The following is a 15,669-nucleotide window of genomic DNA, read 5'->3' as shown; positions in this document are numbered from 1 at the left end:
GGCGCAGAGAGGCGCGCCGCGCCGGCGCAGGCGCAGAGAGGCGCGCCGCGCCGGCGCAGGCGCAGAGACACATGCTAGCGCGTCCAGGGGTGGAGGCGTGGCGCAGGCGCAGAGACGCACGCCTACGGGCGGGGGTTGGGGGTGCGTGTGTTGCAGGAGCAAAGTCGCACGGCGCCGGGCTGGGGGCGGGGGGGTGCGGGGGCGCCGTGCACGCGCAGAAACTCACGTCACGGCGGCGCGGCGCAGAGACGGGTGGAACTTCAGTAATCCGAAAAGCCGGGATCGACCGCCCCTTGCTTGCAGCCGGGCACTACAGGACCCGCTTGCTCACGGTGCTGTGCCAGGGCGCCCCCTGCTGGCGACTAGGGCAACTGCAGGGCTCTCTTGCTTAGAGTGGTGGCCACCGCCCCCTCGTGGCGCCGGGGCACTGCAGGGTCCTCTTGCTTACTGTATAGTGGTGGCACGCCGCCTGCTGGCAGCTACGGACATTGCAGGGTCCTCTTGCTCAAGGTGTACTGGCAGCACGCCCGCCTGCTGGCAGCTGGGGACACTGCTGGGCCCTCTTGCTCCAACAGTAGTGGCGGATTATAGGGAAACACCAGGAGCATATGCTGTTTGGTCTCAGTAGACTCCTAAATATGGGATTCCTGGGTTTAAAAGTATAAAATAAATATGTTTAATTTGTTAACTGATTACCATCAGAATTGTACTGTTCTGTATCCCACCAGCAATGTCTAGGAGTGCCTGTTTCTCCACAAAGTGTTTACTTTTGGATTTTTTGCCAGTCTAACAGGTGAAGCCCTGGAGATTCTTATTAGTGATTTGGGCTGGGGCCTGGCCACGTGTATTTTTTTAAATTTCCACTGATGATTTTGCTGCATGGCCGGTGTTGAGAATGACTGCGCAAATTTGCCGGATTTCCTTTGCTGTTCCTGCATGTAGTTTAAACGAGATTGCCAGCACCGGGTATCATTCACCATTTTTCTTTTTGTTAACTTGCCGTCAGCCTTTTCTTTGACCTCTTCTTTCTGTTCATGTGTATTTGCTGTCTCTTAGCCCAGACTTCCCGTGTCCTTTCCACCAGGCCTTTGAGAGGTCACAGGGTCTTGATGCTGTGGTCTTGATCTGCAGGTGTCTGACTTCCAGCAACTGCTGGCCTGTGCCAGGGTGCAAGCTGAGCACTGGAGTGGAGTTTTCCTGTGGAGAGGAGCCATGCCTAGAGTGGGATGGGCCATTGTTCATCTTCTGGCCCCTGTTGTCTGCATGTAACTTAATACCACAACCAGGCATAGGGGAAAGATTGGAGGAAAGATGAGTGAGAGCATCAACTTCTCTGACAACCTAGGCCAGTAAGTAGTGCTTGTGCTCATCTCCTTGGCTGTGATACGTGGCCGGCCCTCGCTCCAGCAGCTGGACCCCTACCTGCCATCTGCTGCCATCGGAGCCCAAAGCCGGGCTGTGACTGCTCAGACCAGCCGGCTGGAGGGAGGGGCTCAGCAGGTCTGGCTTTGGCCCTGGGAGAGCAGGTGGAAGATCAGGCAGGCCATCGCTGCCACAGAACCCAGTGGATTGGCCTAGGTGGGATCTCTGAGCTCAACAAGCCCTCTCTGGGTGGTAGGTGCAGAGAGGGGAGGGGCAGAGCCGCAGGCACAGCCAAGAGGGCTGAAGAAATGGTAGAACGGAGCAGCTGGTGATGTGTGGGCCCACCGGCCCCAGGCTCCTGTCTCCTCCCAGGTGTGTGGTGATGCCAGGCATGCCCTTCCCCAGCATCAGGTCTCCAGAGCTGCAGAAGACGACGGCCGACTTGGATCACAATCTTGTGAGTGTCCCCAGTGTTGCAGAGGTGAGAGGAGAGTAGACAGTGAGTGGGAGTGGCGTCGCCCCTAGGGCTCTACTGGGCCGGCGTCTCCTGTCTCCTGGAGAGGCTTCGATGCCCCTCCACACCCTCTTGATATTCCCTGTGATGTCATCTGGAGCCCTGCTGCTTGCAGTGGCCTATAAAGCCTCCTGGTCTGGCTCCAAGGCCTGGCAGAGTCTTTCCCAGGGAAAGCTACAAGCAGCAAACAGTCCGCATGGGTCATCCCCTTCACTCCCAGCTCAGAGCCCAGCCAGGGGCCCCCAAGAAAGGCTCTGGTGGAGAACCTGTGCATGAAGGCTGTCAACCAGTCCATAGGCAAGCCTGGCTGCCTCCAGCTGGGTGGACAGACAGGGGCTGGAGAAGGGGAGAAGAGGAAAGGGGGGTTGCCTGCCCTGTCTCCTACCTGAGGCTGAGGAAGGAGAAGGGGATGCACTGTTGGGGAGGCAGCTGTAACTCAAAGCCTTAGCCTCTGTTCCCACGAAGGCAGGGCCATCAGGCACCAAAGGGATTCTGCCAGCATAGTGCTCCTGGATTAGTGATACACCCGGCACCCTGTCCTGGACAAGCTGTTGGCCTGGATCTGAGCCCTCGTGGAGGTCAAAGCCACCTTTGGTTCTGCCATTGCTGCTGTGTGGAAGTTCACTCCTGCCTTTTCCTTTCCCTAGAGCCTCCACCACCCCGAGATCACATTTCTCACTGCCTTTTGTCTGCCCAGTTTCACCAGAAGTAGGCCTCTTCCTGACAGGCAGCTGCACCACTGCCTGGCGCTGCGCCCTTCCTTTGCTCTGCCCGCTGGAGACGGTGTTTGTCATGGGCCTGATCTGCAGGGATCCTGCTACAAAGGTGAAACCCAGAAGAGTGTGGAGTCCAGAGTGTTGCCAGGACCCAGGCACAGGCATTAGTGCCCGTTGGAGAAAACAGGGGAACCCCGAAGAAATGGTGGGTCCTGGCCATCCGTGAGATCTTCCCAGGGCAGCTCCCCTCTGTGGAATCCAATCTGTCTTCCATCCTGTGTGGCCGAGGGCCAGGCTTCTCACTGGGCCTCTGCAGGAGGCTGCCATTTGTCCTGCCCACCTTCTTAGAAGCGAGACGGAGCAGACCCATCTGCTACTGCCCTTTCTATAATAACTAAAGTTAGCTGCCCTGGACTATTCACCCCCTAGTCTCAATTTAAAAAGATCCCCATGGCCACAGGGCCCCTGCCTGGGGGCTTGTCACCTCCCCCACCTTCTTCCTGAGTCACCCCTGCAGCCTTGCTCCCTAACCTGCCCCACAGCCTTGCCTGGATTTCTATCTCCCTGGCTTGGTGCCAGTTCCTCCAAGTTGATGGCACCTCCCTCCCTCTCAACCACTTGAGCAAACTCCAAGACATCTTCTACCCCAACACCAGCAATTGTGCCAAGGGCCATTGGGCTCTCAGCATGACTATTTTTAGAGACCCCGTGTCTGTCACTGAAACCTTTTTTGTGGGAGACTATTCCTCCCATCTGCAACAGCTGCCCCTGCTGACTGCCCTTCTCTCCCAGAGAAACAGGTCAGCTGGGAGCTTCTGCCCCCACTGCCTAGGGACCAACAGGGGCAGGAGGCAGTCACTGACCCCGAGACGTTTGCATCCTGCACAGCTAGAGGTCCTTTATTAAAAGCACACTGTTGGTTTCTGCTCAGTTCTTTATTGATTGGTGTGCCGTTTTCTCTGGAAGCCTCTTAAGAACACAGTGGCGCAGGCTGGGTGGAGCCGTCCCCCCATGGAGCACAGGCAGACAGAAGTCCCCGCCCCAGCTGTGTGGCCTCAAGCCAGCCTTCCGCTCCTTGAAGCTGGTCTCCACACAGTGCTGGTTCCGTCACCCCCTCCCAGGGAAGCAGGTCTGAGCAGCTTGTCCTGGCTGTGTCCATGTCAGAGCAACAGCCCAAGTCTGGGTCTGGGGGGGAAGGTGTCATGGAGCCCCCTAGGATTCCCAGTCGTCCTCGTCCTCCTCTGCCTGTGGCTGTTGCGGTGGGGGCACAGGAGGGATGGAGTCTGACACGCGGGCAAAGGCTCCTCCGGGCCCCTCACCAGCCCCAGGTCCTTTCCCAGAGATGCCTGGAGGGAAAAGGCTGAGTGAGGGTGGTTGGTGGGAAACCCTGATTCCCCCAGCCCCCGGAGACTTAAATACAGGAAGAAAAAGGCAGGACAGAATTACAAGGTGCCGACCCAGGGCGGGCAGCGGCCCTGCCTCCTACCCTTGCGCCTCATGACCAGCTTGTTGAAGAGATCCGACATCAAGTGCCCACCTTGGCTCGTGGCTCTCACTGCAACGGGAAAGCCACAGACTGGGGTGAAGAGTTCAGTCACATGCGACCGGTGGCTCCCTGTCCCCACCCCCATGACACTCCCCAGCCCTCCAAGGCCACTGTGTTTCCTAGTTAGCTCAGAGCCTCAGTCGATCCCTGACCCAGCACCGGGCACTGATGAGAAAGCGGCTGTTTGAGGAGCCACCTCCCAGCCACCTCGGGGCCAGGGCCAGGGTGTGCAGCACCACTGTACGATGGGGAAACTGGCCCAGAGAGGTGAGGCAGCTTGCCTGGGGTCACAGAGCAAGGCAAAAGCAGCGCTGGGTACAAGCTCAAAACCATAGTGCCCAGGGCACTGCCGCTGCAGGCGCAGGCATCGCATCACACCAGTGTCTGCGTTCACAGCAGGCATCATCAGTAGCCTCCAGAGGCCTCAGGTCCAGTCTCTAAAAATATCTCAGGGGGCTGCAGTGGCTGACCATTGCCTTGGACCGCTCTTGGCAGTCGAAGAAGATTCTCCTGTCACAGTTTGGGCTGGGTGAGCTTAGAGAGGAAAGCTTCACTATGGCTCCCAAACCAGGAAGGAGCCATAGCCCAGGCAGGAGGGCTGAGGACTTCTGGTGGCGGCCCAGGGCTTCCAGCATGTGCCCTAGGGGAAGCAGGGGCCAGCTGGCAAGAGCAGGGGGTGGGCAGAAAGCACCCAGTGGACTCAGGGCTGGAGGGGAGGAGGCGATCTTGCCCAAGGCCCTCCGACCGCAGGCTCCAGGGCCCGCTCACCTTGCTCCTGCTCCTTCTGCTTCTTCTTCTCCAGCTTTCGCTCCTTCATGCTGCGCAGCTTGGCCTTGCCGATGCCCCCAGCTTGGCGGATGGACTCTAGCAGAGTGGCCCAGCCACCGGAGGGGTCGACCACTTCCCTGGGAGCTCCCTGGACTGGAGCCGGGAGGTGGGGAACAGGGCAAGGAGGAAAGGCTGCTCAGGCAGGGCTGGGGAAGCTTACTGTGTCCAAGAGCCTGCTGGGAGGGAAGTCACCTCCCCTCAAACGAGGAGCCCCGCGCTGGGGAGGCCGGACCTTTGGAGACTGTGTGGGGGGGCCTGGGCACTGACTTCTGCAACCACCTGAGCGCGGGCATCCTGTGTGCAGATACTCCCTGCTTCCTCTCTAGCCCCCACCCTGCAGAGCTGGACCCCTGAGCTAGCCATGCTCTGACAGTCTCAGTTGCACACATGAGCCAGCAGAGGGGTTTTGTGCCACTTCTGGATGCTAGGGTTACACTGGGAGATACAGCAGTGAAGCTGAAATGAAAAATGTGTTGCTGTAGTTTGTTATTAGACCCCTTCTTTCCATTGGTTTAATTAGGAATGGGGAACCCAGAGCCTCACTTGTTCAGGTTCCCTCTGCCCTAGAAGTGAGAAGTCCAGAGCTCTACAGTTTGAAAGCCACTATTTTATGGACCAAGTAGAACAAGATATTTGAAATGGAAACTATTCAAAAAATTGAGAATTTCTGACCACTTAACAAACCCACAGAAAATCCACCCGAGTGCACTGAGCACGCCAGAAATCAGGTGGCCTCAAAGAGCTGCTCCCACCTGAAGGAGACGCGCTGCTGCTGCCGTCGTCCTGCCTGGCGCCTTGGCCTACAGGGGCCGCGGTTGAGGGTGGGAGTGGGGGTGCACTGGCCAGCACCTCAGGAGCTGGGGGTGGTGGTGGGGGCGGTGGGGGTGGTGTTAGTACCCCATCTTGTAGGTCTGAAACACAAAGTGCGGGGTGTCTAGGGAAGAAGGTGTGTCAGCAGGGAGGTCCCCGGCCCAGCTCCCATCCCAGAACCCAGCTCACCTGCCTTGAGAGGCTCGGCTACCTCAGTGTGGAAGGTGGGCAGTTCCGGAATGGTGCCAGGGGCAGAGGGGGCAATGCCGGGGCCCAGGTCGGCACTGTACATGAGGTCGTTGGCAATGCTGGGCAGGTCAGGCAGGTAGGATGGAACATCAATCTCAGGCACCTGGCCCAGGTCTGGCACATAGAAGTAGTTCTCTGGGACCTGCAAGATTAGGCAGGGACATGTGAGAGGTGACAGGGACCTGCAGGGGCAGCCAACAAGACCTTGTGTGCACCTCCCATGGGTGGAATAAGGGGCCCAACAGCCTTGACTGGAGAAGAGCTCTGGCAAGGCCCTGGGCCACTGCACCTGTCTCCACCTCTGTCCCACCCCTCCCACCTGCTGTTCCAGCTGCTCTCTCTTGCTGATGGACAAGGGGGCATCAAACAGCTTCTCCTCTGTCTCTGCCCCCAGCATCACATGGGTCTTTGTTACAGCACCAGCCAGGGGGTCCAGGAAGACATACTTCTTGTACCTACGGAGGCGACATGGGGGTCAGGCAAGCTGACACCCGCTGTCCTGAGCCCATGTTCCTCTCCCACATCATCAGGGGCACAGCGTGCACTGTGGGGTCCCAGGCCTCCCGAGCCGAGCCACCCCAGTCACCCCCTGGCTCCTGGCCTATGTGCTGTACCTGTGTCTGATGCCCTGGGTCCCCACTAAGCCAGGCCGGGCCTCCCGCCCACACCCCTCGGCCCTGCCTTCTGGCCATACAGGTTCTCGGTGGTGTTGAAAAGCAGCAAGGAGCTGACAGAGCTGATGTTGCTGGGAAGACCCCCAAGTCCCTCTTCTGCATCGTCCTCGGGCTCCGGCTTGGTGCTCACGCACACAGGAAAGTCCTTCAGCTTCTCCTGAGAGGGCCAGGATGGCCAAGGGATGGTGAATATTTGGTGCTGGGCCTAATCAGCTGCCACCCCATCCCAGTCAGCCTCCTCTGGGGGACAGAACCCTATGGTGGCCCCGGCTCCTCCCCAGTATCCAGTCCTCCTGGTGTGTGACAGGCTAAGTTATGTGCGCAGCCAGCAGACCTGCAGGGCCCGCTCGTCCAGGGGGCGGTGCTTGCTCTGGATCCTGTGGCGGGGGCGTCTCTGCAGGCCAGGGTCCTGGGCGCCCGTGAAGATGGAGCCATATTCCTGCAGGCGCTCTGGAGCAGGGTACTTGGCACTGGAGAACACCTGTGGACACAGGGACAAGTCTGAGGGGGCCCTAAGAGGCTCAGAGGGCTAGGATTGCTTGGCAGGAGAGGGTGGAGTTGGAAGCCTGGGCGAGAAGAAAGCCCAAGGTACAGGTGGGCAGCAGGGCAGAGAATGGGCGGCCTCAGAGGCATGGGGAAATGGAGGGACTGCCCAGTAGCCTCAGGACACAGGGGTATGGGGACTACCTTGATGGCCTTCTTGCTGCCCTTGATCTTCTCAATCTTGGCCTGGGCCAAGGAGACCTTCTCTCCAATGGCCTGCACCTGGCTCCGGCTCTGCTCTACCTGCTGGGAGATCCTGCCATGGAGAAGATCACAGAGGCTGGGCTGCTCCCCACCCCCTGCACACCTCCTGCTTCTAACAGCAGAGCTGCCAGGCCAGGCCCTCAGGCAAGGGCTCTGAAGTCAGGGTCACCTGCTTGCCAGGGCCGATCTTGGTGCCATCCAGGGGGCCTCTACAAGGATAATCTGACCTGCAGGGTCGAGGAGTTGACGGTGCTGAGTTCCCTGCACTCTCACTAGGGACAGGCCCTATGCTGCCACCTGTACATGCTATCTGAAGGACAGCCTCCAGGGCACACAGAGGATGGTATTTACACATGCACACTGGCTACTGATGGGGCAAGCACTTCACAACCCCTCATAATCACGTGCAGCAGACAAAGTGACCTCTGCAGAGGGGGAACGGAGACCGGAGGCTGAGACTGGCAAGGCTGGACCTGAGTGTCGTCACCTAAATTCAGACGGGGAACTGCCCCTGCACCTAGTGAACGGCTCACTGAGCAAACTCTGAGTCCCGACCACCGCCTCAGTGTGGTCTAGCTCCTCACCTGCTTCCATCCTCCCTGGTGCGGGGTGGGCCCAGTGATATCAGCTGCCTGCTGTTCCCCAGATGTGCCAAGTGCATTCTTGTGTGCTTGCATCTCATGGAACGCCATTTCCCCAGACATCCCTGTGGCTGGCTCCTGATGCCCGAGGCCCAAGTGTCTGATGCTTTAAGGCACATCACCCCACTCATGCTTTTCCATGTTCTTTGGCCGCAGCAAGGCTGCTCTCACTGCAAAGTTAACTCTGATGCGTGTGTAACACAACATCCTCCTCCCAGTCGCCCCTGTAGCTCCCCTACCTCCAAGAGCCCAGCCCTTGCCCACAGGGCCACACTCCACGTGCAGAGCAGCCTCAGCATTCACCGGGCACGAGCGAGCCTGTGTGGCGCGCAGGGATGAGAAGGCAGAGGCGTGACTGGGGTTCATGAGGAAGGGCAGGAGGAGGGTGTGGGATGGTGGAGGGGTTTGAGAAGGCAGAGGCGCGACTGGGGTTCATGAGGAAAGGGAGGGGGAGGATGTGGGATGGTGGAGGGGCTGCAGACTCTGGGCTAGGGAAAGCTGGGATGTCTCTAAAGGTTGGAACGAATGGCCTAGAATCCGACCCAATAAGCCAAAGCCACTTCCACCAACGTTAGAAGGCCTTGGCCCCCAGAGAGCCAATTTCACAATCCAGAAGTCCCCGTGCCCTAATGGGTCTGCCCTGATTACTCCTGGCTCCTTGTGTGCAGGGGGCTCAGGCATGGCAGGGCTGGGAGTACCAGCAGGCACTCAAGCGGCTTAAGTGTTCCATGACAGACTGGTATGAAGGTGGCCACAATTCAGAAAGAAAAAAGAAGAGCACCATCTCCTTCCAGTGAGGAAGCGGGGCCACCACCCAGCGTGTGCTCCATCTTTTCTGGCTGGGGAGAGGCCTTCATCTGCTGTAAAGGGTCCTCACCCTGACCCTGACCCTCACCCTGACCCTGACCCTAAAACCCTGACCCTAAAACCCTGACCCTAACCCTGACCCTGACCCTAACCCTGACCCTGACCCTAACCCTGACCCGGACCCTGAACCCTAACCCGGACCCTGAACCCTAACCCCGACCCTGAACCCTAACCCCGACCCTCACCCTGACCCTCACCCTCACCCTGACCCTCACCCTACCCTGACCCTCACCCTGACCCTGACCCTGACCCTCACCCTGACCCTGACTCTGACCCTGACCCTCACCCTGACCCTGACCCTGACCCTCACCCTGACCCTGACCCCTGACCCTGACCCTTGACCCTGACCCTGACCCTGACCCTTGACCCTGACCCCGATTTCATTCATTTGATCTTCAATCACTGATACCCTTTCTTCCAGTTGATCGCATCGGCTACTAAAGCTTGTGCATTCGTCACATAGTTCTCGTGCCATGGTTTTCACCTCCATCAGGACTTCTCTGCATTGGTTATTCTAGTTAGCCATTCATCTAATCTTTTTTTCAAGGTCTTTAACTTCTTTGCACTGGGTTCGAACTTCGTCCTTTAGCTCGGAGAAGTTTGATCATCTGAAGCCTTCTTTTCTCAACTCGTCAAAGTCATTCTCCGTCCACCTTTGTTCCATTGTTGGTGAGGAGCTTTGTTCCTTTGGAGGAAGAGAGGCGCTCTGATTTTTAGAATTTTCAGTTTTTCTGCTCTGTTTTTTCCCTATCTTTGTGGTTTTATCTACCTTTGGTCTCTGATGATGGTGACGTACAGATGGGGTTTTTGTGTGGATGTCCTTTCTGTTTGTTAGTTTTCCTTCTAACAGTCAGGACCCTCAGCTGCAGGTCTGTTGGAGTTTGCTGGAGGTCCACTCCAGACCCTGTTTGCCTGGGTATCAGCAGTGGAGGCTGCAGAAGAGTGAATATTGCTGAACACCAAATGTTGCTGCCCGATCGTTCCTCTGGAAGCTTGGTCTCAGAGGGGTACCCGGCAATGTGAGGTGTCAGTCTGCCCCTACTGGGGGGTACCTCCCAGATAGGCTACCCGGGGGTCAGGGACCCACTTGAGGAGGCAGTTTGTCTGTTCTCAGATCTCAAACTCCGTGCTTGGAGAACCACTACTCTCTTCAAAGCTGTCAGACAGGGACATTTAAGTCTGCAGAGATTTCCGTTGCCTTTTGTTCGACTATGCCCTGGCCCCAGAAGTGGAGTCTGACAGAGGCAGGCAGGCCTCCTTGAGCTGTGGTGGGTTCCACCCAGTTCAAGCTTCCCAGCCACTTTGTTTACCTACTCAAGCCTCAGCAATGGCGGGCACCCCTCCACCAGCCTTGCTGCCACCTTGCAGTTCAATCTCAGACTGCTGTGCTAGCAATGAGCGAGGCTCCGTGGGTGTGGGACCCTCCGAGCCCAGGCGTGGGATATAATCTCCTGGTGTGCGGTTTGCTAAGACCGTTGGAAAAGCGCCAGTATTAGGGTGGGAGTGACCCTATTTTCCAGGTGCCATCTGTCACAGCTTCCCTTGGCTAGGAAAAGGGAATTCCCTGACCCCTTGTGCTTCCCGGGTGAAGGCGATGTCTCGCCCTGCTTCGGCTCAAGCTTGTGGGCTGCACCCACTGTCTGACAAGCCCCAGTGAGATGAACCCAGTACCACAGTTGGAAATGCAGAAATCACCCATCTTCTGCGTCACTCAGGCTGGGAGCTGTAGACTGGAGCTGTTCCTATTCCATGTCTTTATCTTTTAATTGGGTTGTTTTTCTTCTTGTTGAGTATTAGAATGTCTTTGTATATTTTGCATGCAAGTCTTTTTTTCAGGCTTGTTTTATAAATATTTTCTCTCAGTGTGTGCCTTATTTTTTGATTCTCTTAACAGGATATTTCACAGAGTAGTCATTTTAAATTTTAATGATGTCCAAATTATCATTTTTTTTCTTTTATGGACTGGCTTTTGGTATTGTATCTAAGAACTCATCACCAACCCAAAGTCACGTGGATTTTCTTCTATAAAACTTTTACAATTTTATATTTGATCATTTAAGGCTACAGACTATCTTGAGTGATTTTTTGGGGGTGAGCTATGAAGTTTTTGTCCACATTCAGTGTTTTCCGTATGGTTTCCGATTGTCTATTGCCATTTGTGGAACAGACTTTTCTTTCCCCAGTGAATTGCTTTTGCCCCTTTGACAAAATCAATTGAATGTATTTACTCGGGTTTTTTGGGTTCTGTATTGTGTTCTGTTGAGCTGTTTGTCCATTCCTTCACCAATATCACTCTCTTCATTGCTTTAGCTTTGTGGTAAAGCTAACAATAATGAGTGTACTGCTCCTAAACAAGGAGTATCTGCATTTGATTTAATATTTTTGATTCTTCTCAACCGTGATCTAAAGTTTTCTGAATGCATATTTGTATGTATTTTGTTAGATTTATACCTAATAAATTAAATTTGGGAATGCTATTGTAAATGGTATTTTTTTCAAATTTCAAGTTCAAATTATTCCTATACATTATTGCTGATGATAGAAAGAAAATCAGGCAGTGTGTGGTGGCTAACGCCCGTAATCCTAGCACTTTGGGAGGCCTAGTTGGGAGGATCATTTGAGCTTGGGAGTTCTAGACCAGCCTGGGCAACATAGTTAGACCTGCCCCGCCCATAAAAAATAAAATAATAAATAAAGGAAAATCAGGTGGTGCCGGACACAGTTGTTCACACCTGTAATCCCAGTGTGTTGGGAGGCTGAGGCTGGAGAATTTCTTGAACCCGGGAGCTGGAGGCTGAACTCGGGAGCTGTGATTACACCACTGCACTTCAGCATGGGTGACAGAGCGAGACCCTGTCTCTTAAAGAGAAAAGAAAGAAAATCAATTAAGTTTTGCCTACTGGCCATCTTTTTTTTGAGATGGAGTTTGGCTCTGTCACCCAGGTTGGAGTGCAGTGACATGATCTTGGCTCACTGCAACCTGCGCCTCCTGGGTTCGAGCAATCCTCCTGCCTCAGCCTCCTGAGTAGCTGGGATTACAGGCACGTGCCGCCATGCCCAGCTAATTTTTGTATTTTTAGTATAGATGCGGTTTCACCATGTTAGCCAGGCTGGTCTCAAACTCTGGACCTGAAGTAATCCGCCCGCCTCAGCCTCCCAAAATGCTGGGATTACAGGCATGAACTGGCCATCTTCTTTGCTTCCTTGCTCCATGAGTTCCGATCAAGGCATGGGATGGTGGGCTCCATTTCAGTCGTAATTTCCAAAATCCACAGCCTGGAAAAATCTAGACGCTGATTTTCAGAGACTCCCCATGGCTGCCGCAAGGGGGCGCATGGCCCCTGGCAACTCGGGGCGCCGTGCACGCACCGCGTCTCATCCACACAGCGGCAGTCACTTTGCGGCCACTATGAGGACTGAGCTTCCTCTCCCCAGGACCCGCATGGGAGAGACCGCGGCTTCGAGACACCTGGGGACACCTGGGGACACCTGGGGCGGCGTCCGCGGTGAGGACTGGGAGACGCTGCTGCATCTCCGGGACACCACTTGGGGCCGAGGCCAAGGTGAGGAAAAGGCTTCCCGCCCCCGGTGTGAGTGTGGCGGAGCGAGCGCGGCTGCATTTCCCGTCGTGCACTTTGTAGCAGGACCTCACTTTGTAGGAGATTCCCCTTCATGGAGGCTTGGGCGGGTCACCCCCAGTTCAGGCCAAGATGCAGGTTACGGATGTGAGTTTCTTTCTGGGAAGAGACCCTGGTACCGGGAGAGGAGGAAGAACGCGGAGACGCTGTCGGGAGATCAGCCTGAGGCCGAGGAAACAGGCCCCTGGGATCAGTGCTGGATGTTTGTTTTTGATTTTGTTTTTTGCTTTTTGTTTTTTTTTTTTTTTTTTTTTTTTTTGGAGACGGCGTCTCGCTCTGTCACCCAGGCTGGAGTGCAGTGGCGCAATCTCCGCTGACTGCAACCTCTGCCTCCATGGTTCAAGCGATTCTCCTACCTCAGCCTCCCAAAGCTGGCACTACAGGAGCAGGCCACCATGTCCAGCTAATTTTTATATGTTTTGTAGAGACGGGGTTTCACCACGTTGACCAGGATGATCTCAATCTCCTGACCTCGTGATCTGCCCGCCTCGGCCTCCCAAAGTGCTGGGATTACAGGTGTGAGCCACCATGCCCTGCCCTCTTTCTTTTTGAGAGGAAGCCCCACTCTGTTGACTAGGATGGAGTGCAGGTGTGCAATCTCTGCTCACTGCAACCTCCGCTTCCTGGGCTCAAGCGATTCTCCTCCCTCAGCCTCCCAAGTAGCTGGGACTACATACAGTTGTTGCCCACGGCGCCCAGCTAATTTTTTTTTTTTTTTTTTTTTTTGTATTTTTAGTAGAGACGGGGGCTTCACCATGTTGGCCAGGTTGGTCTCGAACTCACTGAGCTCAAGTGATCCTCCTGCCTCGGCCTCCTAAAGTGCTGGGATTACAGGCGTGAACTGGCCATCTTCTTTGCTTGCTGTCTCCATGGGTTTCGGTCGGGGCACGGGATGGTGGGCTCCATGTCAGTTGAAATTTCCAAAATCACGGCATGGAAAAATCCAAACGCTAATTTTCAGGGATTCTCCACGGCTGCCATTAGGGGGCCCGGCCAAACCCGGAGCGCCACAGTAGAACTGCGTCTGATCCGTACAGCGGCATCCCTGGGTGTGAGGACTGTGAGGACGGAGTTTTCTCTCCTCAGGACCCACCCAGGAGGGGCCATGGCTTCGAGACACCTGAGGAGACCTGGGGCCACGTCCGCGATGAGGACATCTCTGGGACACCTGGGGCTGCATCTCCGGGACACCTGGGGCTGACCCTGGTACGGGGAAAGGAGGAGGAACACAGAGATGCCCTCGTGAGGTCGGGGACCAGCAGGCACCGCAGTCTAAGGCCAATGAAACAGGCGCCCCTAGATGAGTGCTCGGTGTTTGTTTTGTTTTGTTTTCTTTTGAGAAGGAGTTTCGCTCTTGCTCCCCAGGCTGGAGTGCGATGTCGCGATCTCGACTCACTGCAACCTCTGCCTCCCGGGTTCAAGCGATTCTCCTGCCTCAGCCTCCCGAGTAGCTGGGGTTACAGTCATGCGCCATCACGCCCGGCTAATTTTGTAGTTTTAGTAGAGACGGTGTTTCTCCATGTTGATCAGGCTGGTCTCGAACTCCTGATCTCAGGTGATCCACCCACCTCGGCCTCCCAAAGTGCTGGAATTACAGGCGTGACCCACTGGGCCCGGCCAGTGCTTTGTGTTTTAAGGCTCTTTTGTTAACGCAGTGGAAACAACACAGGAAATGGAAAAGCAGGCACATTATCATTCTCAGGCCACTGCATTTAGCCTGGGCGACAGAGCGAGACCTTGTCTCAAAAAACAAAAACAAATGAAAACAAAAACAAACCATTTTGTGTGTCTAATGGAAGTCACCTCGTCAACAACAGTCTTTTGTTGAGAAAGTCTGTTTAATTGGCAGTGTATTTGTAATGGTACATAAAATGACGTCTGCTTTATAAGCATTCTCATTCCTATATTAGATGAAATGTATTAACTATATCAAGCTTTGATATTATACCATAAAATTACTTGAAGAAAGTCACTACTCTTTTTTTTCCTTTACCTTGACCATTTTAAATAAAATCATATTTCATTAAGGTTAGTTAATACTGAGCTGTAAATATGTATGGTCCTGGGGTCTTTTCTTTCTTTTTTCCTTTTTTTTTTTTTTTTTTTTGAAACGGAGTCTCGCTCAGTCTCCCAGGCTGGAGTGCAGTGGCGCAATCTCGGCTCACCGCAACCTCCACCTCCTGGGTTTGAGCAATTCTCTGCCTCAGCCTCCTAAGTAGCTGGGATTATAGTCACTTACCACCATGCCTGGCTAATTTTTTTTTTTTTTATATTTTTAGTAGAGACGGGGTTTCACCATCTTGGCCAGGCTGGTATTGAACTCCTGACCTTGTGGTCCACCCACCTCGGCCTCCCAAAGTGCTGGGATTACAGACATGCGCCACTGCTCCTGGCCTCTTTTCTTTTTTTGACATGGAGTCTCACTTTGTTGCCCAGGCTGGAGTGCAGTGGCGTGATCTCGGCTCACTGCAACCTCTGCCTCCCGGATTCAAGTGATTCTCCTACTTCAGCCTCCCGAGTACCTGGGATTACAGGCCTGAACAACCATGCCCAGCTAATTATTTTTGTATTTTTCATAGAGATGATAGGGTTTTGCCATGTTGCCCAGACTGGTCTCAAACTTCTGGGCTCAAGCAGTCTGCTTGCCTCAGCCTCTCAAAGTGCTGGGATTACAGGCATGAGCCACCATGCCAGGCCTGTCTCATTCCAATAAGGAATTATTAGCTTTTTCTGAGCACCACTGTGTGCAGGTGTCTTGCTCAGGTGAACTCACAGCAGTCTGCTAGGTATGGCTAGCACCCTGTGCAGAGGGGAGGGCCAGGCTTAGGTGACTGAGTGACTCACCTACAAATTACACAGCCTCCAGTGGCTTCACTCTCAGGTTCCAGCCCAGAACCAGCTCTCCAGGGCCCACTCAGGGAAAGTTTATGAGTTGAATGAAGAGGTGTCCAGGCCACACAGGAGAGGCATCCCAATTGTGGGTTCGTTTATGTGATCATGAGGTAGCCCAGGTCACACATGGAGCCTCATGAGCCACACAGCCCCTGTTATAAATACACTAGCCCGGGGCTCCCCAG

The 15,669-nt window shown here is 54.9% G+C and overlaps 1 long non-coding RNA gene and 2 pseudogenes across 2 annotated transcripts; 2 read left to right on the top strand and 1 right to left on the bottom strand.

The window, feature by feature from the left end:
- Window positions 1–995: 995 nt before the first annotated feature.
- On the top strand, window positions 996–3,521 carry DDX11L16 (DEAD/H-box helicase 11 like 16 (pseudogene); annotated as a pseudogene). Its single transcript, NR_110561.1, has 3 exons — window positions 996–1,349; window positions 1,735–1,843; window positions 2,342–3,521. The product of NR_110561.1 is annotated as a DEAD/H-box helicase 11 like 16 (pseudogene) (transcript).
- On the bottom strand, window positions 3,509–7,521 carry WASH6P (WASP family homolog 6, pseudogene; annotated as a pseudogene).
- Window positions 12,349–14,615, top strand: WASIR1 (WASH and IL9R antisense RNA 1). Its single transcript, NR_138048.1, has 2 exons — window positions 12,349–12,517; window positions 13,554–14,615. It is a non-coding gene; the product is annotated as a WASH and IL9R antisense RNA 1 (long non-coding RNA).

The sequence above is a fragment of the Homo sapiens genome, chromosome X (genome assembly GCF_000001405.40).
Source record: "Homo sapiens chromosome X, GRCh38.p14 Primary Assembly".
Classification (NCBI taxonomy): Eukaryota; Metazoa; Chordata; class Mammalia; order Primates; family Hominidae; genus Homo; species Homo sapiens.
Note: the sequence above shows the minus strand (reverse complement) of the source record. Positions and strands in the feature narration are given on the sequence as shown.